The sequence below is a fragment of the Homo sapiens genome, chromosome 7 (genome assembly GCF_000001405.40).
Source record: "Homo sapiens chromosome 7, GRCh38.p14 Primary Assembly".
Taxonomy (NCBI): domain Eukaryota; kingdom Metazoa; phylum Chordata; class Mammalia; order Primates; family Hominidae; genus Homo; species Homo sapiens.
This window is the reverse complement of record NC_000007.14, coordinates 16,604,721-16,630,466: the sequence shown is the minus strand read 5'-3', so window position 1 is coordinate 16,630,466 and position 25,746 is coordinate 16,604,721. Positions and strand designations below refer to the sequence as shown.

General features: G+C 37.5%; 1 protein-coding gene and 1 long non-coding RNA gene across 4 annotated transcripts in view; one reads left to right on the top strand and one right to left on the bottom strand.

Annotated features, from left to right (window-relative positions):
* ANKMY2 (ankyrin repeat and MYND domain containing 2) overlaps positions 1-25,746 on the top strand; it is a 45,976-nt gene that overhangs the window by 15,288 nt on the left and 4,942 nt on the right. The window contains exons 3-8 of the mRNA NM_020319.3: positions 3,289-3,427; positions 5,386-5,484; positions 14,563-14,723; positions 19,704-19,918; positions 20,702-20,837; positions 25,618-25,746. Coding sequence (NP_064715.1) covers positions 3,289-3,427; positions 5,386-5,484; positions 14,563-14,723; positions 19,704-19,918; positions 20,702-20,837; positions 25,618-25,746 — 879 coding nt within the window. The remainder of the gene's footprint in view (positions 1-3,288; positions 3,428-5,385; positions 5,485-14,562; positions 14,724-19,703; positions 19,919-20,701; positions 20,838-25,617) is intronic.
* LOC105375169 (uncharacterized) lies at positions 2,102-25,642 on the bottom strand. 3 transcript variants are annotated; one of them, XR_007060226.1, is made up of 5 exons: positions 25,556-25,642; positions 17,195-17,328; positions 14,288-14,441; positions 13,048-13,091; positions 2,102-2,187 (listed from the first exon to the last, which is right to left on the bottom strand). It is a non-coding gene; the product is annotated as an uncharacterized LOC105375169 (long non-coding RNA). The 3 variants fall into 3 exon arrangements; XR_007060225.1 differs by lacking the exon at positions 2,102-2,187 and adding an exon at positions 11,667-11,750; XR_007060227.1 differs by lacking the exons at positions 2,102-2,187; positions 17,195-17,328 and adding an exon at positions 11,667-11,750 and having other exon boundaries at positions 25,556-25,635.

Below are 25,746 nucleotides of genomic sequence, written 5' to 3'. Positions count from 1 at the left end.
ATCTAAAGAATTGTAGAAGCTTGTTTCTCATGCTATTCAGTTAAGCAGACTACCTACAAGGTTATCTTTGGGAAATGACAAGGACGTGAGGATTTTTACTCTTGCATATCATTGAGTCTAAGATGTCATAAATTTAAAAATTCATCTAGATATTTTTTAAATGAGGGGAGTGTAAACTGATGGTAATTTGTGAGACTTTAGTAAAGTGAAAATTCTGGAGATTTTAAATATAAAAGTGAGATGCATCTTAGAATTGATGAATTACAATATGATAACATTTTATGAAATTTATCACTACCTTTCTAGTTTGAGTAGAGATGGACATTTAGTATTCTGTCTGATACTAAGTTATTTCATCTTTACAACTGTAATATAATATTTTAAATTAACTTGCATCATGTATTTTGAACATGGGAATATTCTCTTCTACTTCTAGTAGATTAGCAGTATTGTTTCAAATTATTTCCTTTTCTGGATATTTACACTGAAATACTATAAAAACACTAGAATAAATAGAAAATTTATAGCATGGTGGGTTTATATCTCTATGGAGCATCAAAATTTATTAATATTACTTCTTTTTACTTTGCCCATGGGAAAGTTTTTATAAATCACATGGTACTAGAACCAAGATAATGCATAGTAATCATTGCAGTCAAAATTTATAATTTCCTTCATACTGTTCTAAATTCTTATAACACAAAATTGTACTAAGATAGGAAAGTACATGTGATATCCACTTCTTTGAAAAATAAGTGTAAATTTGTTACTTATCACTAGTTTTTTTTCTAATACCCAGGACCATCTACCACAGCACTTAAATTTGGTATCTGAAAATCATATACTGTATTATACACATGACAAAAAGAGCAGTTTCAGAGATTGCACAGCAGATGACATGATTGGGATAGACATTTACCTTTTTTTTTTTGAGACAGAGTCTCACTCTGTCGCCCAGGCTGGAGTGCAGTGGCGCCATCTCGGCTCACTGCAACCTCCACCTCCCAGGTTCAAGTGCTTCTCCTGCTTCAGCTTCCCGAGTAGCTGGGACTGTAGGCACCCACCACCAAGCCCAGCTAATTTTTGTATTTTTAGTGGAGACAGGGTTTTGCCATGTTGGCCAGGCTGGTCTTGAACTCCTGACCTCAAGTGATCTGCCCACCTCAGCCTCCCAAAGTGTTGGGATTACAGGCGTGAGCCACTGTGCCTGGCCGATACTTACCTTTCTGGAAAGAAACTCTCTCATTGGTTTGCTCTAAAAACCAATTTCTGCTAAGGTGACAGCTGGTAAACAGAAAAGAACAAGTGAGAAAGAGAAAAGAGCCAGGAAAATTTTTTTTAAATGAGACGAAAGGGAGTAATAGGAGACACGTAAATGGGCAGAAGTGATTAACACAGATGACAGTGAAAACACAAACACAGGAAAATAAGGACAGTTGGAGATGTGAGATTCAAAAGTTTTGCATATCTCTTTTGCTCTTAAGCAGATTATTACATTCTGTTGAAAGCTTTGTGTTTTGTTTTGTTTTGTTTTGTTTTGTTTTGTTTTGTTTTGTTTAAACTAGAGGCCAGTTCTGTAGTCTGGGGATTATTCATTCTCAGAGCTAGATAACCTCTTGTTGTAGGTTGGATTGCTGGGCAATTGACTGCCCACCTGTTCTGGATAAACAGAAAAAAACAAACTCCATGATGAAGTCGGGGTCCTAAAATCTGCAAAAGAAACAGCTGTTTGCTTCTTTGTGGTGGCCTTTCTGATGGGCCTGTGTCCTTCCCCTACCACCCCTCAGGCTACACACTAGCTTCTTATGGACAGATTCTATCATCCTTTAGGAGATATCACCTTAGTCATGCTCGCGATATGGTATTGCCTTATTTAAAAGCTAAAGGCCATGCAGTCCATTCCTACTCCCTTGAAGCACGGCAATGAGATTTACCCACACCCACCCACCCACTCCCAGCATACTAATATTCCATCTCTGTAGAGACTCCCAGCTAAGGGAGTCTTCAAAGTTATCATCTGCTTATCATTTTTCCATTCTTACTCTCAAGAAATGTCCGTTGCTTCCACGGAGTTGCCTCTTGTGCAACTGAAAGGTCCCAGCCTCTCTATCATTCTCGTCTCCACAACCCTCTGAACATAGTGTGTACTGCATTAACAAGATGATGGCTTACGTTCATAATAATAATCTGGAAGCATCAAGAATAATTTACATTATGTTAGCATTCTAAGCTTCACTAAGGTAACGGATTATATGTTTTACAGAGCGTTTCATCCAAAACAACTTTGATGTTTTGGTACTTACAGCGTTTCGCCTACACTACTGAGAAAATTCACTCACACTAACAGCTCATCCATTTACCTACCAAATAATAGTAGTGCCTAGTACATAAAAGGCTGGATGTTTTGTTGAATATGCACAAAGCATATGGAGACCAAACAGTGTAGCCTAGCGTAAATACTACCAACCATTTTTCCATATATATACAATCACATATAATCAAATCATATGTATGATCAAAATATATGTGTGATTTGACCAAACAATATAGCCTAAATACTACCAACCATTTCTCTATATTTATACAATCACATATAATCAAATCATATGTATGATCAAAATATATGTGTGATTTGACCAAACAATATAGCCTAAATACTACCAACCATTTCTCTATATTTATACAATCACATATAATCAAATCATATGTATGATCAAAATATATGTGTGATTTGGGGAATCATGGTTTTAAAAAATGATACCACTGTAATATGCATTTCCTTCACCTTTTCTCATTGACAATAATTTGTGAAAAATGTTCCAGTTCAGTAGATACAGATGAATCATTCATTTAATAGCTTCATAATATCCCATGTTATGCATATACCATACTTTATTCAACTTTCCCCTTGAGAGGCATTATTTGAGATTTTTCTTCTTTTAAAAAAATATGTTTGTATCTGTTTGTTCATTTGCTTTCTGAGAAAGTAAGTATGTTTGGAAAATGTGGGTTTCAATCCCTGCCCCCACCATTTATTAGTCATGTGAGGTTGAGCAAGTCCTCTCTGAATCTGTTTGCTAATCCGTAAAAAAATCTCCAGTAATAAAACCATCTCTTCCTCAGAAGTTTATGGAAGATCAAAGTGTGGAAGCAAATATAAAAATACATATTATAATGACCATTTTAATTAGTTCATATTCGTTTTATGTTTCTAATTGCAGAAATTGTTCATAGGTACAGAAAAGATAAAACAGTAAAATTAATACTTTTTTCCTCTTTCTATTAAAGAATGGAATGACTCCTCTAATGCATGCAGCATATAAAGGAAAACTCGATATGTGCAAATTACTACTGCGACATGGAGCCGATGTAAATTGTCATCAGCATGAACATGGATACACAGCCCTCATGTTTGCTGCACTTTCTGGTGAAGTTTTAGTATTTATAAATATAAGTTACCTATACAAACTTGTTATAAGTACATATATACTAAAAGATTAAATTCATTTTGATTTTAGTAATTTTATGGTCAAGTTTTATGGAAAGGAATGATGGCAATTGGTTTTTGAAAAGCTATAATGCAGGAAATAAATTATATAGTGAATTTGGTGATTTGTTTCTTTTGTTATTTAGATCAATTGATTCTTTATGTGGACAACATTTTGATGGAATTGAGGAACTGGATCTGTTTTTCTTTCAAGTTACCTCCTTTGATGTTCTATATCTTTATATTTTCAAGTGACATGAAAACTTCTTTCTTCTCTTGATCAAACAGTTGCCATGACAGAGCCGTCTGTTTGCCTCACTGGCACTTATGTACTAAATATGATGATCCCTTTAGAAACTTACTCGGATTTGTATTGTTTATTATTTGCTGAATAAGGACAATTTAGAAATACTGTCTACAATTAAGTGGGATTATCTGTAATTGGTGCAGCTCTTTGAAAAATACAGAAGTAATATCCTTGTACTTTGAAGATAATAATCTATATTTTCATAATCCTGGAACCCAGAAGCACTTCTAAGCATTATATAAACCACAGAATCCAAAAAGGACAATATTGATAAAAATTTAACATTTTCATTTGTAGGATATACCATAAATAGAGTTAAAATACAAATGAAAAACTAAAAATCTGTATTATATGTCTTAAAAGATTATATTGTGAAATATTAAAAGTTCTTTTAGCTGGGCACAGTGGCTCACACCTGTAATCCCAGCACTTTGGGAGGCCAAGGCGGGCTGATTGCTTGAGCCCAGGAGTTCGGACCATCCTAGGCAACACCATGAGACCCCGTCTCTACCAAAATAACAAATATTAGCCAGGGACAGTGGCGCACGTCTGTGGTGCCAGCTACTCAGGAGGCTGTGGCAGGAGGATTTTTGAGCCTGGGAGGCAGAGGTTGCAGTGAGCTGAGATCGTGCCCCTGAACTTGAGCCTGGGTGACACAGTGAGACTCTGTCTCAAAAAAAAAAAAAAAAAAAAGACTTCTTATAAATCAAGTATAAAAAGAAAAATACTACAGTAGAAAATTGGATGGAAAACAAAAGAAATACCACTGGCTGATCAAAATATAAAACATTTTGCGCAGTAATCAAAAAAATGCAAATTAGAACAATAAATTTTATTTTTTAGCTTATTATACTGGCAAATGTTAAGAAAGAGCTATAATGCTCAGGAACTTCTTTACACTATTTGGGGGAGTGCATGTCAGTCCAACCTTGCTGGATGGCAGCCTGGCAAAATGCATTTAAAATATGCATAATCTTTGATCTGGCAATATTTCCCAGGAACTGTTCCTAAGGAAATCATAATTCAAACTTGCGAAAATGAATGGAAAATACTTTTCACTGAGTATAGTTCATAATAGCAAAATACCCATAATGACTACTTTAGTAGAAGAATGTGAATAGAATAATGTGTATGTTTAGATAGAAAAAAGGTGTAGAAAGATAGATGCCCAGTGGTTAATAGTTCTTCCAGAGCCTGTAAGTGTGAGGAATGGGATGGATTAGTCGATATTAAAGGGGAATCCTATTCATTTTATCTCTTTTTAAAAAATTGTTTTGTATGCGTATTTTGATTTTATAGTAAGTGTTACCTCTAGGAAAATATATTTCATTTTGTTTAAAAAGGCAGTATTCAATTCCATACTGCCTTTGCATTGCTTGATTTGTTTTCCAGAAAATAAGGTTAATTTCTAAGGTTCTATAGCATTTTATTCTTTACTGTAGTTAGGATTCATGTTTTAAAAGAATGAAAATATCCACATGACAGAAACCTAAAACTAACTGGGGGAATAAAGGGTATAGAGAGTTTAGAAAGGGATGTTTAAATTGTGTCCTCCTTAACATTAACAAATGTGTTCCCTTTAAAACTCTAGGTAATAAAGACATCACATGGGTAATGTTAGAAGCTGGTGCTGAGACAGATGTTGTCAACTCTGTGGGAAGAACAGCAGCTCAGATGGCAGCCTTTGTGGGTGAGATTTTGCTGCAGTTTTGCATTAGATTATACCCAAAATTTCCCTTGTGGAAAAAAAACCCACTTTGCTTCTCATGGTGAAAATATTATCATGTTGCTTTAAAAAAACTTAAGTATTTACAGTCCACTGTAACTTAATGAAACACCTAGTGACTCTGGAGAAAACAAATGGCTATTTCGAATTTCCACTTTTTCAAATACAAAGAGTAGTGGGGCCATTGTAATTGCTCACAAATGCTTATAACATGTATATTTTATGTCTCTGATGGAAGTAGCTAACCCTAATGTTTAAGAATGCTAACCGAGAAGTCAGTAATCCCAAGTTAAATTTTGGCTGTGCCACGTGATAGCAAAGTACTTAATAATTCTGACCTTCAGTTTCCTCATGGTAAAATGTTACAGGGTTATTGTGAGGATTAAAAGAGGTGATAGACTTGAACTTTCCATGTAACACTAAATAAATGGTATTAGTTACTGTTGTTAATAATTATTACAACAATGACATAACTCTTAGGAAAGAGTACTTGATAATAATATACAACTACTTCGTTATCATTCTCATCAACCACAGACGTTTATTTTGTGTGCCCAATAATTCTTGGCATGTTAATCCTATTGCTTGACATAATGTAAGGAAAGAGTGGGAGTGAATTCTTGTTCTTTGGTATTTTGACACCATTGAATTGGTGGTGAAGAGAGTCCACTGAGAGAAAAGCAAAGAGCAACGTCTGATTTATTGGGAGTGCAGTAAGTGGCCGTATAGGGACTAATAATTCATTAAACAAATAATGTTCACAACCTATAAAGCAAGCATCACTGTAGGTGTCTTGGTTATAGTGACAAGACAGGCTGTTCATACTTTCTTGGCACTTAAAGGGTAATAGCAATGACAAATGGTGCGAAAACACATACTCCAAGGTAGAACTTCAGAGCTCCATAAAAATACATAGAAGAGGAGGATCTGTCCAATTCAAGGGGGTTTTGAGAGAAGTCAGGTTCAGATACAGTGTAAATTAGGTGTGGAGGATAGTAACTGAATATTATGTTAAATTTTATTAGAACATTTTCTTGAAACTACTAATAGAAGCTGCCATTGATTAAGCCAGACACTCAGTTGCTTTATGACAGCTTTTTCTGTTAGAAGAAGTATCCTTATTTTCATTTCAAAAGGACTTGAGAAAGGTATGGCCTTGTGTAAGCTTCGGAGAAATATTTTAACTCCCGTGTGTACAGGCCCCAAGTTGCCCCATCTCAGTTCTGAGCTAATTTTGAGGGTGTCACTGCAGGGGGAAAGAACACTAAAGTAGGAATCTGGAGACTTGAACTTTAGTTCATGTGTGCTGATAATTAGTTATAGGATCACGGGCAAATTCCTTTACCTCCATAGGCCTCAGTTTTCTGATCTGTATGCAAAGAAGCAGGGGAATTAGGTGATCTCTGAACTTCTATTTAACTGTACAAGTTTTCATTATATCCACAATGTAACAAAATATTGCTCAGATACAGGTAAAAAAATTTCCCAAGATCACAGGTCTGGAAATGGAGGAGTCTCTTCTTTCAGGCATTAACACAATGCTCCTTTCTTTTTCTTAACACTACAATACTAACAAAATTTTTACTACAGTAAAAATTGTTTGCAATCCTATCCTAAAATAAGAGTAATGTTTTCATTCCATTTTAATATATTTAACTGATTTCACAGACAGAAAATTACATTGCACCCTTCCAGTTGTTACTGTATTTTCCAAATAATTAGCCTTTAAAAAAGCTCATTCTCCCCTTTTTGTTTCCTTCAAGTGGATCAGTATGTATACATGCGTACATACATACATAAGATTTTTGTCATTTTTTAAAAATGCCACCCATCACACAGCAGATATTCCTTGTAGCTTGTTTTCTTCACTTACTAATACATCATGGAAGTTCCTCCCATCTCAGTAGGTGTAATTCATTTCCTTCAACAGCTATATGATACTCCATGATATAGATGTTCCACAGTTCAGTTAGCTCTCCCTTATTGACAGATTTTACAGTTTTTTAACCACTTTTCTACAAATAATGTAATAATCATCCTTGATTTTCTATGTTTTACAAGTTAGTACTTGAATATTTTTTACATGTTAGAACTTTAATATCTCTAAAGTATTTCTTAGAAGTAAAATTGCTGAGACAAAGGATATAGAGTTTTTATTTTTATTTATTTATTTATTTATTTATTTATTTATTTATTCATTTATTTTTGAGATGGAGTCTCGCCCTGTCGCCCAGGCTGGAGTGCAGTGGCCCAACCTCAGCTCATTGCAACCTCCGCCTCCCGGGTTCAAGTGATTCTCCTGCCTCAGCCTCCCAACTAGCTGGGATTATAGGTGTGCGCCACCACGCCTAGCTAATTTTTTTTGTATTTTTAGTAGAGATGGGGTTTCACCATGTTGGTCAGGCTGGTCTTGAACTCCTGACCTTGTGATCTGCCCGCCTCGGCCTCCCAAAGTGCTGGGATTACAGCCACCACGACCAGCCTAGAGTTTTAATTTTAATGTAAGTCTAGATTCCTTTCCAAAAGGGCATAGTAATTCACAGTAATATCCTCATCAGAGCTGAGTATTACCATTCTTTGATTTTTGCCACTCTGATAGTTAAAAAGATGGTACATTGTGAACTTACTTTCCCCTCATTATTTATGAAATTAAGCACTTCTGTTGTTGGTAATTTGTATTTTCACTTTTGTGGATTACCCACTTATACTCTTTATTCATTTTTTTGTGGGGGGATGCCCTTTGTTATTGCTTTGAGGAGCTTTATGCATACAAATCCATTATCTAACAAATGTGTTTCAAATATTTTATGCCAGTCCTCCTCTTCCTCCTCCTCCTCCTTCTTCTTCTTCTTTTTATTCCTCTTCTTCCTCCTCCTCTTCCTCTTCTTCTTCTTCCTTCTTTCTTCTTCTTCTTTTTTAACTTTATGGAGACCTTTACCATAGGAAATTTATTTATTTATTTATTTATTTATTTTTTTGAGATGGAGTCTCACTCTGTCACCCAGGCTGGAGTGCAGTGGCATAATCTCGGCTCACTGCAACCTCCACCTCCTGGGTTCAAACGATTCTCCTGCCTCAGCCTCCCATGTAGCTGGGACTACAGGTATGTGCCACCACACCCAGCTAATTGTTGTATTTTTAGTAGAGATGGGGCTTAGCCATGTTGGCCAGGCTGGTCTCGAACTCTTGACCTTAGGTGATCGTCCCACCTCCCAAAGTCCTTAGGATTACAGGCATGAACCACTGTGCCCGGCAGGAAATTTATTTTTAAGTAGTCATATTTTTTCTTTTATAGCTTCCGTGTTTCTTGTTTTGCTAAAAGTGGGCCTCTTGACCAGGAGTTACATAAGTATTCTCCTAAATATCCTTCAGTTATTTTTTATGATTTTTTTGGTACATCTAGAATTTATTTGTTTAGAGTTCATTTCCCCCCAGATATATAGCTAATTGTGATGGCACCATTTATTACACCAGCTAACATTTTCCTACTAAATTGAAATACCACCTTTGTGGTAAGTTAAATTCTCTTTTACTAAATGATTATATAATTATTTGCAGAGAATTAACATTTGTATGAGGTTAGGACTTTCCATCCAATTACACAGTACACTTTTACATTTCTTTTAGGGGAGGGGACTGACTTTTGGTCTTTCAGTAATATTTAATTGGTTCCTTCATATCAATCCTTTCTTTCAAAATTTATTTCTTAGTAATTTGTGGTTACTGTCCACATGGTAAGAATTTGCACTACCACCTCCACACTCAGTCACTTCCAGCTGGTTATGGATAATAAAGAGAAAAGCTATTGATTTCTGTATTTTTTTCTTATTTTTATTACAGTTTACTGCGTTTTCTAGCTATTAAACTTTATCTTGATTTCTATTTGAATTTGCTTCGGGCCAAGTAAGAAGAAATAATAGTGATAATTGGCATGTCTTTTTCCTGTTTTTAATGAAAATATTTTTAGCTTTTCACTTTTAATATATTGCTATTGGTTTTATCATTGTATAATGTCACTCTTTTTCTTGTTGAATTCTTTTAGTTCTACTTTTACTGATATTACAGCTATTCATAATTCCTTTTTTTGTCAATGATCTGTTTGCTCATCTGTTATTTTCAATCTTTATCATTTCATTTAAGTAGTATAACTTATAAACATATAGGTGGGTTCTGTTTTGTAATCTAAAATGTTAGTTTCCCTCTCTTAACAGGTATTTAGCTTATGTATATTTAATGTAATTACTGATATATGTGGTTGCATTCCTCCTCTTTTACCTCATTTTTACTCTTTATTTTACTTGACTATTGTTTGTGCATGCATCTGTGTGTGTGTGTGTGTGTGTGTGTGTGTGTGTACACATGTATTTCCCTAAAGTGATTGGCTGGTCAAAACTGTACAGTACCACATACCCCATCCCCAAGGCCCCATATTTACCCATTTAGCAACTTTATAAGATGAAATCCTTATACTTCATTTATTTCTCCACATTCTCTGTTTTTGCCTTGTCAGGCCACAGGTCTTTCCTTTCTGCCTTCTCTGATACTTCCTCAAAACCTGTGCCAATCATACCTGTAGCTGTGGACTTTGCTGAGAGAGTCTAGTATTTTTAGCACAAGCTGTAATGAGAGTGTCATTGACAGGGTGTTGCTTCTCTTTCAGTAATCCATACCACCAGCTGTGTGATTTGCCTGTCATCTATCTTCACCCACTCATATGAACTCACTCTCTTACTGTCCTCTCTCTCCTCCCCTTTGTCTCCATTTTTGCATTTTTGTCTTTAGATCTCTGTTCTCATTTAGATTTTGGTTATAGGACCTTTTCAAATGGGTTACGTAGGTTGTATATTCTTTGACACCCATCATGACAAAACTATTAATACCTTTCTTTCTGAAATGTGAGTCATATTTTGCCTAGCTTTCTGACTCATATCAGAGTTCTTTTCTCTCCGACATATAGAAGTTATTCTACAGTTTTCTAAGTTCTGGTTTTGCAAATGAGAATTCAACTTACTTTCCATTGTAAACTTTACATTTCTCATTCTGGAAGAGCATTTGATTTTCAGTTTATCCTTGAAAGTAAAAAATTTGAAAAGGATACGTCTTGTTGTATGTGTGTGTTCCTATTAATCACACTCAGTGAGCCCTGTAAGTCTAGAGGACTCAAATCTAGTGATTGTAATATGGGAGCAAAATGATGTACTGGCTTCTCCACCTGCAGCATTTATTTTCTATATTAGTAGTATTATTTTATTTATGTATATTCAGAATTTATAAATTTAAAACTAGTAAAATATTTAAGAATTTCAATTACAAACATTTAAACCTAAATGATTAAGTATTTACAAAGATAAACTTTAAACATATTATTCAAATATGTTATTAGCAGATTAATTAAAATAAAATATCAAAATAAGCATTACCTAAAATGAAAAACCTTAATCTGGAAAAAAAGGTAAAGTAATACTATTTTTTCTTTTTAAAAAGGTATAATTAGGCCGGGCACAGTAGCTCACGCCTGTAATCCCAGCACTTTGGGAGGCCAAGGCGGGCGGATCACCTGAGGTTGGGAGTTCGAGACCAGCCTGATGAACATGGAGAAACCCCGCCTCTACTAAAAAATACAAAATTAGTTGGGCGTGGTGGCAGGCACCTGTAATCCCAGCTACTCGGGAGGCTGAGGCAGGAGAATCCCTTGAGCCTAGGAGGCGGAGGTTGCGGTGAGCCAAGATCGCGCCATTGCACTCTAGCCTGGGCAAAAAGAGCAAAACTCCATCTCAAAAAAAAAAAAAAAGGTATAATAAAGAAATCCTTAGTCTTGTGACAGTATCTTTGTTATGTAGCAATTATTTTTATGTACAGATATTTCTACCTGCTGCCTGCTTTTCCTAATTGTACTAGTTGGAGGACTGATGAGAAGATACAGTTATAAGCTAATTCCTTATTTTTCTCTGACTCCTTTATCTTCAAGTCTTCATATGTCTGGTTCAGTACTTTTGATGAGCTATTTTGGAACTTTTGTGTGTGTGTGTGGAAACACCTATCTTTTTATTGAAGCTGGATGTAGATTTTGTTTTAAGGAAGCATGTGCGGTTTGTCTTCATCTTCTCTGGTTTCTTCACATACAGTTGTAAATTTCCTCACAATTACTTGGGTTGATTTTGATAACTGTGTTCATAACCCACTTGCATTAGATTTGCTTGGTTGAATGTCATTTTTCTCTCTTGAAGATTCTGGAAGGAGAGGTGATCATTTTCTAAACAGAGCACCTTGGCTCATTTCACATTTTTAATATAGACTGCTACTGTTTGACTTTTCAAGACGTATGTACTGGGGAAAGAAATAAAAGAAATACCCACCTCCCCGAATCCCCCCAAAAAGAAAGAAATTGGGTGTTCTGGTACTTAATAAAAGCATAGAGTACCAAAAATGGTATTGTGATCACTATTAAATTCTCTTTTCAAATCAGGGAAGTTTTCTTTTATCATTTGTTTAATTCTCCATCTATTCCTTTTTTTCCTTTGAGATGTCTGTTAATTTTCACTATTAGATTTCCTGGATTTGTTCTTTAGCTCTTTCATCTGTTGTATAATGATTTCTATATCTGAATTTTTCTGTTTTGAGATATTTCATCCACTCGATCTTTTTTGTTTGTTTTGTTGAAACAGGGTGTCTGTTACCCAGGCTTGAATGCAGTGGTGTGATCAAAACTCACTGCAGCTTTGGCTGGGCATGGTGGCTCACGCCTGTAATCCCAGCACTTTGGGAGGCTAAGGCAGGCAGATCACCTGAGGTCAGGAGTTTGAGACCAGCCTGGCAAACATAGTGAAACCCCATCTGAAAATACAAAATAGATTAGCCAGGTGTGGTGGCACACACCTGTAGTCTCAGCTACTTGGGAAGCTGAGTCAGGAGAATTGCTTGAATCCAGGAGGCAGAGGTTGCAGTGAGCCAAGATCACGTGACTGCACTACAGCCTGGGCAACAGAGCCAGACTCTGTCTCACCCAAAAAAAAAAAAAAAAAAAAAAAACACGCTCACTGTAGCCTCCAACTCCTGGCCCCAAGCAATCCTCCTGCCTTAGTATCCCAAGTAGCTGGGACTACAGGCACATACCACTGTATCCAGCTAATTTTTTAAATTATTTGTAGAAACGGGTTTGTGCTGTGTTACCCAGGCTGGTCTGCACCTCCTGGGCTTAAGCAATCCTCCTGCCTCAGCCTCCCAAAGTGCTGGGATTATAGGCATGAGCCACCATGCCTGCCCTTCATCCTCTGTGTTACTAGTTTAGTTCTCAATAGTAACCAGGATCACCTCTTTCAGTTTGCCTGTTAATTTTTAAAATTTGAATCTCTCTGCGGCTCTTGAAAGTCTATTTATATATTATAATTGAATCTGCTTAAGTGCATTTATTAGCTGTAGTTGTGGTAGTTATTGTTATGGTAAATGTTACCCACACACTTTCAACCCAAGAAGCCCTCTGTTGGAGGCATGGCGTAGTCTTCAGAATTGCTGGATCCCCATACGTACCTTGTTCTGTACCTCCCAGGAAGTCAGGTAAAGCTGATAGGGTCCTGGATCAGTGGAAGAAGAAAATTTAATGTCTCAATTAAGACATTAATTAATTACTTTAGAAAATTATCACTCTCCTTATAGAATCTTCAAGAAGAGAGAAAAATGACATTCAACCAAGCAAATCTAATGCAAGTGGGTTATGAATACAGCATCAAAATCAACACAGGTAACTGTGGGGAAATTTAGAAATGTGTATGAAGAAACCAGGGAAGATGAAGACAAACTGCATATGCTTCCTTAAAACAAAATCTACATCGAGCTTCAATAAAAAGATAGGTGTTCCCATAAAAAAAAAAAGTTCTAAAATGTCTCATCAAAAGTATTCAACCATTTAATTGAGACATTAAGCTGGTTTGGTCAGCAAACCAGCTGAGGCACAAGGATGAAGCCTGCCACTCCTGGGTTCTCCCAGGAACTTTCAGGGACAAGCAGAGCCCTCTGCCAGCCTCAAGCGCCAGCGTCCAGCTGGCCCACAGTGCCATCCCCACGCAGGTCACCTGTTGTCGGCAGGATCAAGCAGGCGCTCCCAGGACCAAGCACAAGCAGGCAGGGGCCATGCAGGCTACCCAGGGGGAACCACTCTCCGGGAGCGGGGGCCATGGCGTCTGCACGCTCTCCCCAGGCGCGCCTCCGCTGGTCCCCCAGCCCTCATCAGGCAGAGCGGAGGAAGAAGTCTCCTCCGGAGATCCAGGAAGAGCCTGCGCCCGCCCTCCTGTGTGCCCTGTGGCTTCTGCCTGCTTGCCCAGAGTGGCCACTGCTTTGCTCCAGAGAGGTAGTGGAGAGGGAGCTAGGGAGGGGGGGGCGCCGCAGGAGCACACTTGCAAACCAGCAGCTTCGCTAGGGAAGAATTTGCTTTCATAGAACCATTTTTAACTAGAGATGGCTTAGAGAAGTGGCTTGGAATTCTATGCAAAGCCACGATGTGGATTCCAAGCTTATGGGAGCGAAAGCCTTTTCTCTACATTTCACAAAGAGGGCAAGCTTTTCTCAAATTTAGGGGGTAGGGGATAAGGGGGAGGGGGTTTAGTTTAATATTATCATTATAGTAAGAACAATACTTTATATGGAGTAAATTTAAATTTTGTGTAAATACAACTGGATGTGATTAGGGAAACATGAGCATCATTTGCGTAGGCTGGGAAGAAGAGACATTTAACTTACAAGCAACTGTTAGAAAATACTTAAGGTCTCTTACAAGTTGAGCAGTGCTTTCTTTTGTAATCCACATAATCTTCGTATGTATTTTGGATTCTGTGTCTTTCAAAGATTGTTTATCAACTTTACAAGGAATGTTTATAAATGTTCTCTAAAATATTTTATCTCTCCTCCTCCTCCTCTACTCTCCTTTCCTGAAAAATAAAGATATTGGTGCATGTTTACATCACAAAAATAGCAACATAATTAATTTTAAAAACCAGATGTGTTATTTTTAATACTAAAACTACAACTTTTCTATTTTTCTATGAAAAGGTCAACATGATTGTGTGACCATAATCAACAATTTCTTTCCTCGAGAGAGACTGGATTATTACACTAAGCCCCAGGGACTGGATAAAGAGCCAAAACTGCCCCCAAAGTTGGCAGGCCCGCTGCACAAAATTATCACCACAACGAATCTTCATCCTGTCAAGGTAGTGTGGTGTCTACCGTATTTGCTTTTTATGTAAATATTGCTTCAGAGTTTAAACTGCTTTTATTATACAGGATCATAATTGTCTTGGGGTGGGTTTTGTAGTTGTAGAGCTTGCAGTGGGCTCTTTTGGCCTGTTAATTTATTGAAGGAACACTCTCCGTTGAAACCTGGAAGTGAGTGAGCGAGAGAGAAACAGACTAAACCATCAGGAAAAGCCACGCAAAGAGATGGGTTTGCTGAAGCCTAGCTTCCACCTCATCCCACCGGGAGCTCTGGAGTGTGAGTGGCTCCAGAGAGGCAAAGGAATTCTTTTGTATTCATCAGTCTGTTGTTGGGTGGGGCCTGTCTCCAGAGGGAAAGGACAGCCTCCCACATAGTACCAAGTGAGGTGGCTCCCTTTCAATGAGGGTAGTCCTCTGGAGAAAAGACCATAGTAGCTGACCCTGAGAGCCCCGGGGGCCTGGTATACAGGCCTGGTAAAAAGGATGTATGTGGGGGCACTAACAGCATCTATTACAATAATTGTCTTTCTAAGAAAGATTCTGAAATGTAATCATGAGCACATTTTTAAACTAAGTGGCTATTTGATGCCTTTAAATAACATAGTTCTTCCAGTAATTCATCAAATCAGATTTTCAAATTTCATAGGCCAACACATAAGTTCAAATGGCTTAACTGGGAAACTTCAAGAGCTATTCTGAAATATTTCACTGCTATTGTCTTCCAGATTTTAAAAATACAGGCTTTTGCTGTTGTTGTTTACACATAATTTTTTCAAAAAAATCCAGCTAAACAAGTATAATTTCCTCAATAATCATCACAGAAAACTACACAGCTACATGTGTGCTACAGTGATGAGGTCCTATTTCAATTTCAGTATCTATCACATGCTTTTACTCATAAAGATTTGATAGTAGTTCAGAGCTGTTTAAGTGAGCAAGATACTAAGTTGTGTCAAAAGTTAAGGTTCTTCCTTAACATAAGGCGTTACTATCATGTAGTAAAATAGATTTCCCCAGAAGTTTATTACGAAAGAAGAATCTGTGGAGTCTGCTGAGCATCATGAAAATGAGTGGACAGTTCTTATAAGGTGACTCTTCTGAAGACTGACACTCACTCAAAGATATAAGATCCAAAATGTGTATAATCTTATTACTTTGTTGATGCATCCCTGTGCATCTTTCTTGAGTACTTGAAGGTTGAGAAACAAACCAAATTTACTCATTGTGTGTTCCTCCACCCAAATTAATTTTCTAGGCCCTTAAGAGAGATGACAAACTAGTAGATACCTTTCCCATCAGACAGAAGAGTGGAATCTGCTATTTTTATTTTAGAAAACTCAGAGTTTTTCTTAATATTCTGGAAGAACTGCCAGAGGCAACACTTGTGATACTAAGTGGGCAAATTCAGTTGTGAACTGCATACTCATGTTTCTAGTGGAGATTACAGAGGGCTTAGAATTTAACCTTTAAAAAATATGTATTTTCTTCTGTGTTACTGTTTCTCTCCCTCCCAGCATACCTAGGGAAAAGAGAACTCCCAAGAGAAGCATTGACCTCTGTCCATGGCACTCTCTCAGGCATGGGCTGGCTGGGATGGGGAGACAGGTTTCTGTCAGGGTACAGTATTTCTCAATGTAGAGAATGTGTGTGGTTCTGTAAGACTCTTGTTCCTCCACTGCCTGAGCAATACAGGATATTCTGGCTTAGACTGACTTGAAGAAGTTCCCTGTACTTTTCTGATTCACTGTCTTTCATATCTATGTTTCTGCCTCTTCAGATTGCAGTAAGGGTTTGTGGAATTTTTTTTTTTTTTTTTTTTGAGATAGGGTCTTGCTCTGTCGCCCAGCCTGGAGTGCAGTGGTACAGATCTCGGCCTTCCAGGTTAAAGCGATTCTCCTGCCTCAGCCTCCTGAGTAGCTGGGATTACAGGTGCCCACCACCACGCCTGGCTAATTTTTGTATTTTGGGTAGAGATGGGGTTTCTCCATGTTGGCCAGGCTTATGGAATAATTTTTTATGTTTACTTGGAACCCAGTCTTTCAGGGTTAAATGTCCTAATAATTATTAATACTCTACCTTCAGTTATCTTTGAAGGTATATATTTTAAGTAAATTAGATTGAGGGCATAATTATGCAGACAATAATTTGTAAAGGTATATAGTCTGAAATAGACTACATAATATTTTTTGGAGTATGAAGGGGGCTATCCTATTATATACCTTCCTCCAGACCAGACCTTGCTTTTTGTAGGTATAAACAATCTATTCGCTCGAAACCTTTTCTTTTATCCACCCTTGGGATCTAAAAGCCACCCAGTTGCTTTTGTTACTGTGGCCCATTTTTATTGCTCTACCCCCTTTTTAAGCTAGCATGGCATTTCCTATGGAGTATTATTTAAAAACTAATAACCACTGTGTAATGTTAAACAGCTTTTAAAACAACCTCGGAAATTCTCCCCAATACACACCTCACTTTTCATTACAGTGCACCTAATATAGCTGTATTTGTGTCTAGATTAAGTGGCTGCCGTAGCAATAAGGATGCATTTGTTTTCAAAAGGGATTTGGAGGATTGTGCTGATGCCCAGAATATGAAGGTTATCTAGGAGAAAAACAAAATCACAGAAAAAAATGTCAGCAGAGCAGGGTCTCTAAGTGTACAGGAGGCAGATGTGCACAGAACAATCATGTCTTTGATTATTGTGATTTTCAAGCCCAGTATTGTAGATTTAGCAGTTTTTAAAAATAGGATTTAAAAAATAAAAAGAATTCAAAATGCCACTACATAAACATATTCTCAGGTAGCAATCCTTTGAATGGTAAAAATTTATCTAGTTTTTAATGCCAATAGAAATATATTTATTTGCTCCTCCTCATTAATTAATAAAAAGGATTTCCTTTATAATATATTACTTCATAATGCTGCAGAGATTAAGGAAGGAAACAAGTACAAATATTATTCTTTTGTGTGCAGCTATGTAGTTGTTTCAATAAGCGCATGTTAATGATGTGGTTATTTGTCATTTTTCTTGGTGTATATTTGTGCTGTGTATTAAAACATAGATAAGGTCTGATGTCTCCAAACAAAAAATTATTAATCTGGGCTCTGTTTGAAATTTTTTGAAAGAATTCTCACTTGTAAGTTTAAGATTCTATAGTTGATTATAAATGCCATATATAAAAATACTGATCAAACAACTTTAAATGATTACAATTAGCAGAAGTATAAACAGATAATTAATGAGTCTTTTCTTCTCCACCATAAATTGTCAAAGTATGTTTTGGTAGAGAGAGTTATCAATAAGGATTCTGATTATACTTACTTCATTAAGTCTAATAACTTATTATTAAGTGCTGGATTTTTGTAAAACACTAGATTGTGTATAAATCTAATAAATGTCAAAAAGTGAAATTCGTTTAATTTTACAAGGACATTTAATCTGTGTTAAATTTCTAATTAGAGGGCTAGCTATGGGCTTTACTAATAGATGATCTTTTTTCATGCCTAAAGAAAAGAATCTAATTCAGGAAATCTACCTGTTGTTCCCTGACATGTATAGTCCCTGGGATATTGATTTAGCTGTAACAGGTAGGTTAGCAAGTACTGACTGGCTGTCTGCTCTGTGCATACAGTTGTGTCCCTGTTACATTTGTTGTGGTCTTTGTGCTCCTTAGTTCAGCTAGATCCAAGTTCTTGTCTTACAACCAGGAAGAATTAGACAGGTGGACACTGGAGAGTGAGTGGAGTAAAATTTATTAAGTGAAAGGAAAGCTCTCAGCAAATAGGAGACGCAGTGCAGGGTGGTTCCCCTACCCAAAGGCGGGAAAGTGCCCCATGTGCCTGGGTCCAGGTCCTTTTATGGACTCAGAAAGGGGAGTGCATGCTGATTGGTTTGTGAGTATGTAAAAAAGGTTAAAGTGAAGACACCACTCAATGGTGGGCACAACAGTGTAGAAAACCAGTTAGGAAAGGGTAGGTGTATGTAAAATAGGTGAAGGGTGGGGATCAATCAGAAGAAATTGAGTCAAACAGGAAGACAAGTTCTCAATCCGGTTCAAGGATTTAATTTGTAGCTTGGCTTTCAGGCTTTAAACTGTCTTTGGCTTGGAAGTGGGGCTTCACCAAGGACCCACCCCTATTCTCTCTAGGCATTTGGCTGCCTCCTGCCACTCTCACATTCATGTTTACATTACTGTTATGCCACCATGGATATTTACAGCAGTCCTTTGCAGACCTACTTCAAATAATCTACCCTACAACAAAGCTAATACAAAAATACTCCATATTACACTAAATTTGAGCATAATCTGTGCATACATAGGAAATGTGGGACTCATAACGTGTAAGATTTGATCATTCTAATATTTCCCCTTTAAAGTTATTTATGGCTTCCTCTTTGACCTGTTCTCATTACTGTAGATGATTGGAAGCATCTTCAGGAAAATTTCCATAGAGAAATATAGTTAATTGGAAAGTAAAGCATATTTCATTTTTAGACTTCATTCTGAAAAAATCTCATTTTCTTGTGCTTAATAAGAATTAATGAGAATTGTAGTTCTCCTAGCCATGAAATTCTAGAGCTGAGTAATGTTAACTAAAAGTGGTTATTGCTCAATGATTTGATTCTTTATGTAAAATGTACAAATTTGTCATGTTTATCTTTAGTAAAAGTGAATTTAACAGAGACTGTAAAATCATGTGCTCTTGAATGGCATACTGGCACTGTGGTGTAGGTAGATGGAAGATCACATTATAACTTTGATATACAGAGTTCAAGAGATTCCACTATTTCAGGGTCTTTCTATATTAGTTCTATAAGTTCTGGGTAATTTGCATTCTAACAAATAACATAATAACTTCATGATCCTAAGGAAGGCTTTCTTTGGTAATCTTTTGAAATCAACTAAATGGACTACCTAATTTGTACATGAACAAGTGTCTCCTTTAATACCTGAGTACACTGGGATTTCCTCTAGATCGTGATGCTTGTAAATGAGAATCCTCTGCTGACAGAAGAAGCAGCCCTGAATAAATGCTACAGAGTGATGGATTTGATTTGTGAGAAATGTATGAAGCAAAGAGACATGAATGAAGTATTGGCTATGAAGATGCATTACATAAGCTGTATCTTTCAGAAATGCATTAACTTCTTAAAAGATGGAGAGAATAAACTGGACACCTTGATCAAAAGGTACTCTTTTTACTATGTCGTTTATAAAATACACTCAAGTGAATATTTTTTTTAATATGAAGCCTCATTATTATGTGTTTCAAAATTAAACATTTTGGCAGCAATTGCTGTTGTTGGACTCACATTTAGTCTTTGACAAACAGAGAATAATATTATACTTATATTGAGTGATTATTCAGTTCTGTATCCTTTACTGTGATGTTTTTGTTGTTACCAGCAATTTACAGATGAGGAATCTGAGGTTTGGAGAGGTTAAATAACATGTGTAAGATCACACCGCGAGAAAGTGGCCCAAGTCCAAATTTGAGAATATTTTATGCCCTAGGTCGCAGCCCTAGGTTTGTAATGGCATCCAGGGTGTCTCTGTTACTGTATCTTGGAGAGCTGTGTGTTATGCTGCTTCTCTGACCACCAGAGATCAAATTCTCTTGCATCCTTACCTAGAAAAGGGAACTAAGTCTGAAGGGTGTGGCTCTATGAGAGTTTTCATTCTTAGTACAAATAACTGACATGGTAATAAGTAACTAGCTAATCTGATAACAGTGTTTAGTGTGTTTTATGGTGGTAGTCACCTTTGCATATTCATTTAATGGGCTGGAAAACCTTATAAGGCCTAGCCTAACATATAGGTTGAACAGCAATTTGAACTGAGCCCGTCATCATGATTTGAAGAGACAAAGAAAATCATAAGTAACAGAAGAAACTACTAAAAACTGTTGGGTTCAACTAGGAGAGAATGCTTAGTGATTCAACTCCAATTACGCTTTAAAAAATATCTTTCAGCTTGTTAAAAGGCCGAGCTTCTGATGGCTTTCCAGTGTATCAAGAAAAGATCATTAGAGAAAGTATCAGAAAATTTCCTTACTGTGAAGCTACACTCCTCCAGCAGCTGGTTCGAAGCATTGCTCCTGTTGAAATTGTAAGGCTCCTCTTACCTAAGTTGACTCTATCAGTAAAACCTAATTCCCACCTATTGTATTGTTAAAGGCAAGTTCTCTTTAATATTTATTTTTATTATTTCAGAATATTTTTAGGAACAAAGGTGGAGATAGGTTTGCCTGCCAAACCTGTTCCTGTTTATTTATTTCCCATCTCACGATCCTCTTCTTACCTTATTATGGTTCATAGTTTCATAAACAGGACGTCGCTATGTTGAAATGTAGATGGTTAGGGTAGAAACTTACATTTTAAGTACATCCACTATGTAATATAGGTACACACATGTACACTTGTAGCTATATGAATTATCAGCACAAAGTCATACACTAGATGCAAGTATGAATTGATCACCTAGGGGGATAGTGTCCAGGCAGTGGGGATGTAGTGGGATAAGCCATGGGAAGGCTCATTGTGGTTCCTGGTAACAATCTCAAAGTATGCCTCAGCTTCCTATAATCCACCTTAATGCCTCTGATTAGAAAATGTCCATACTTACAACCTATTTATACTTACCCACTATATAAGTGTATTTTGTTAACTTTATCTGTTATTTAAATGACTTACTATTCATTTGTCATATATTTTAATTTATTTGGCCTTTTCTATTTTGCGACAGAGTCTGTTTCTGTCGCCTAGGCTGGAGTGCAGTGGCACAATCTCAGCTCACTGCAACCTCCATTTCCCAGGTTCAAGCGATTCTCCTGCTTCAGCCTCCTGAGTGGCTGGGACTATAGGTGCGCGCCACCACGCCCAGCTAATTTTTGTATTTTTAGTAGAGATGGGATTTCACCATGTTGACCAGGTTGGTCTCGAACTCCTGACTCAGGTGATCTACCCACCTCGGCTTCCCAAAGTGCTGGGATTACAGGCATGACCCACTGCGCCCAGCCACCTTTTCTATTTTGAATAGGTTTTTGTTTACCCTATCTATACCCATTCATGCTTTTATACGTTTCAATCAAAAACTTGATCAGCTTTTGTCTATCAGGCAAGAAATTGATCCTAAGACCAGTCCCATCCATGGCTTCCTCCCTCCCTCTGGCAAATCTGGTTCCCTTCTCTGTGCCTTCTCTCTGGGTTGTTATGTCATTCTCAGTGTGGAACATCAGGGCTTCAAGTGGGCTCCAGATGCTCCTTTGTACATTAAGAATTCACCTAGTCTGAGCCATAAAATAAACAAGAAAGACCTGAGCAGAAAAGACCATCTCATAAAGCTCATGCATTAATTTGTTCATGTGTGCTCCCCCTATTTTCAAGAGTTTCTTTACTCATACTTTTTAATATAGTTGGCTATTTAGTGTTTATGCTTTTGGAAGAATAAAGTTAGCAAATTATGATTTGTCAATTACAAATGTGTCTTGGCAGCACATATCAAAGCCCAACCAACCATGAATTAAATAGATGAGGGTTTATGTATTCACATATACATAGATGCCCAAAGGTAGGCAGACTAGGTCTGGCATAGTGACTTAAAAATAGTTTGGGGACCCAAACACTTTCTCATCTTTCCCTTCCAATATTCCTTAGCTGTGTAGGTTCTCATATGCATACTTATGATCTCATGGTTACGAGGCATTTGATGTTCCTCCTCCAGCTCACATTCCTATCCCAGGCAGGCAGGAAGAGCAAAGGGGTCTATATCTGGAAAACATAAGCTCTCCCAGAAGCCCTCTGCCTGTGTCACATGACTTTCCTTAGCTACACAGGAGTCCAGGAAAATTTTTTTTTTTGGCTTTTCTAAACACTCCTCCTCTGAACAAAATTACACTTCTGTTACTGAGGAAGCTGGGAGAATTGATATCAGAGAAGCAACTAGCAGTACCTGTTATGTGGGATTTCCAGCACTCACAAATGGTTGCTGACCTTTTACCTTCCTGGGAAAAAACAGAAAAACTAAAACAGCAACCCAGAGTTCTTTAAAAAAAAAAAAAAAAAAAAAAAGCAGGTCAATATTGTGGTCAACAAGTTATCCTAGCTCCATATAATAGAATAATGTAATTAGAGTTTATAGAGTATAATTATTATTATTTTTATTTATTTATTGAGGGGGGTCTTGTTTTGTTACCCAGGCTGGAGTGCAGTGGCGCAATCTCAGCTCATTACAACCTCAGTCTTCCGGGTTCAAGCGATTCTCATGTCTCAGCCTCCCGAGTAGCTGGGACTACAGGCACACACCACCATGCCCGACTAATGTTTCTGCATTTTTAGTAAAGACGGGTTTTCACCATGTTGGCCAGGCTGATCTTGAACTCCTGACCTCAAGTGATCTGCCCGCCTTGGCCTCCCAAAGTGCTGAGATTACAGGCGTGAGCCACCGTACCCGGCCTAGAGTATAATGATTAATGTTTATCCCAGTGATCTGAGTCATCAAGAAAAGGTTTATAATAAAGTTAAGATAGTATTTAATGCATTTTAGAAAGACTTTTCTTTAAACATTTTTGTTCTTTGAGAGTTTTATGTTCTTCTGTCTGGAAGACTTCATCCCAAATGCCTGTGATTGTGCGTATCACAGCCATTGTTTACTGCCTAATTGGTTTTCATATTCTGCAAGTTCTAACCCTCTGAAGTGATGCCCAACCTTTTCCCCGCATACGATGGTTCTCAGGGCTGGCTGCTGTGAGCTTCACTGTGTTGTTTTCTGACAGTGCTAATGCCTGGGCCCTCCTGCTCAGCTTTTGGTTCCCTCTGCTGCTGTGGAACTCTGGCTTCTGCCTGTCTCAAGGCTCAGCACAAAAGAGAATTCGTAGCACTTTCATGTGAAAGCAGACCCAGTCATTATTATTTGTATTCAAGAAGAACATGGTAGTTTCAAAATGAGTGCTACTTTTAAAATACTTCTTGAATCTTTGAATATTTTCTTTGACTATCTTGAGTATACAGAACAGTGTAGGACATTGTTACCAGGTGATATTTTTAAACCTCTATTATGTACAGTTGGTAAGATAATATAAAAACAAATATTCTTAGGAAGAAAAAGCAAATACTCAAATGAAAATGAAAATTATAAAGAGTGTCAAAATGCTGGTTTGGAACAAATGAACAAATTTGAAAAACTCAGAACAAAGAACTATTAGGAGTAGGTAAGAAAAATAGAAACGCTGTGATTATTTTTTGCTAAATAGGTTTTAGTAGCATCGTCTCAGACAGATAAATGCTTACCCTTATAATTTTTTTTTTTTTAAATACAAGGTCTTGCACTGTCACCAAGGCTGGAGTGTAGTGACACGATCTCGGCTTACTGCAACCTCTGCCTCCCGGACTCAGGTGATCCTTCTGCCTCAGCCTCCCAAGTAGCTGGGACTACAGGCGTGCCACCATGCCTGGCTAATTTTTGTATTTTCAGTAGAGTCGGGGCTTCACCAAGTTGGTCAGGCTGCTCTCAAACTCCTAACCTCAAATGATCTGCCTGCCTTGGCCTCGCACAGTACTGGGATTACAGGCGCTAGCCACCACACCCAGCCCCTTATAATTTTCTTTGTAAAAAAAGTTTATAGGCCAGGCGCGGTGGCTCATGCCTGTAGTCCCAGCACTTTGGGAAGCCAAGGCGGGCGAACCACGAGGTCAGGAGTTTGAGACCAGCCTGGCCAACATGGTGAAATCCTGTCTCTACTAAAATTACAAAATATTGGCCAGGTGTGGTGGCTCACACCTGTAATCCCAGCACTTTGGGAGGCCAAGGCAGGCAGATCACAAGGTCAGGAGATCAAGACCATCCTGGCTGACACGGTGAAACCCCATCTCTACTAAAAATACAAAAAAATTAGCCGGGCGTGGTGGCGGGTGCCTGTAGTCCCAGCTAGTTGGGAGGCTGAGGCAGGAGAATGGCATGAAGCCAGGAAGCAAAGCTTGCAGTGAGCAGAGATCACACCACTGCACTCTAGCCTGGGCGACAGAGCGAGGCTCCGTCTCAAAAAAAAAAAAAAAAAAAAAAAAAAGTACAAAAAATTAGCTGGGCGTAGTGGCGGGCGCCTGCAATCCCAGCTACTGAGGAGGCTGAGGCAGGAGAATTGCTTGAACCTGGGAGGCGGAGGTTGCAGTGAGCCAAGATCGAGCCACTGCACCTCCAGCCGGGTGACAGAGACTCCATCTCAAAAAAATAAAAATAGATAAAAATTATAAATATTTTTTAACCTATTTTAATTTTCCATTGCCCACTAGTAGTAAGTTTCACACATTTGGTTTTTCTTAATACTTTGATTCAATTGCTGCATGTGTGTTTCTTAACAAATTTGGAACATACCAATTATAATGGTGATAATTTATTTGAATTACAAGCCAACATCAAGTAAATGAGTTTAAATATATTGTCTTTAAAATACTTAGATTGTACTAAACTTTTCAGAATTAAGACAGTTAAACATTTTTGATGTGCCCTATAATTGTCTCATGGAATATGAATATTTTCTGGATGTCAGTTCTCAGAAAAAAATTCTGCTCTGGAGTTATTGTCCTAAATCTGAAACGCTATGGGCTTACTGAATTATCCTTATTGGAAAAATACTTTTTTTCTAGATTAAGGGTGTTTTTTTCTCTTTAATTATCTGGACATATGACTGACTTTTCATATGTTTTGTACAGAAAATGGTATATTCTAAAAGATTTTTGTCATTTTGTCTTAAAGCCTGTGTAATCTATAGCCTTAATGATTTCTTCCTTTTTGTGTCACATTGTAGGACGGCAGTGTCCGTGGGCTGATACCTCTGTAGTGTTTCCATGGTGATTTCAGAATTTGTTTTTTCTCCTCTTCATGCCCACTCTAGGGTTCTGATCCCACTGCATTCTCCGTCCTTACCCAAGCCATCACTGGCCAGGTGGGTTTTGTGGATGTGGAATTTTGCACTACCTGTGGAGAAAAGGGAGCAAGTAAAAGATGTTCAGTTTGCAAAATG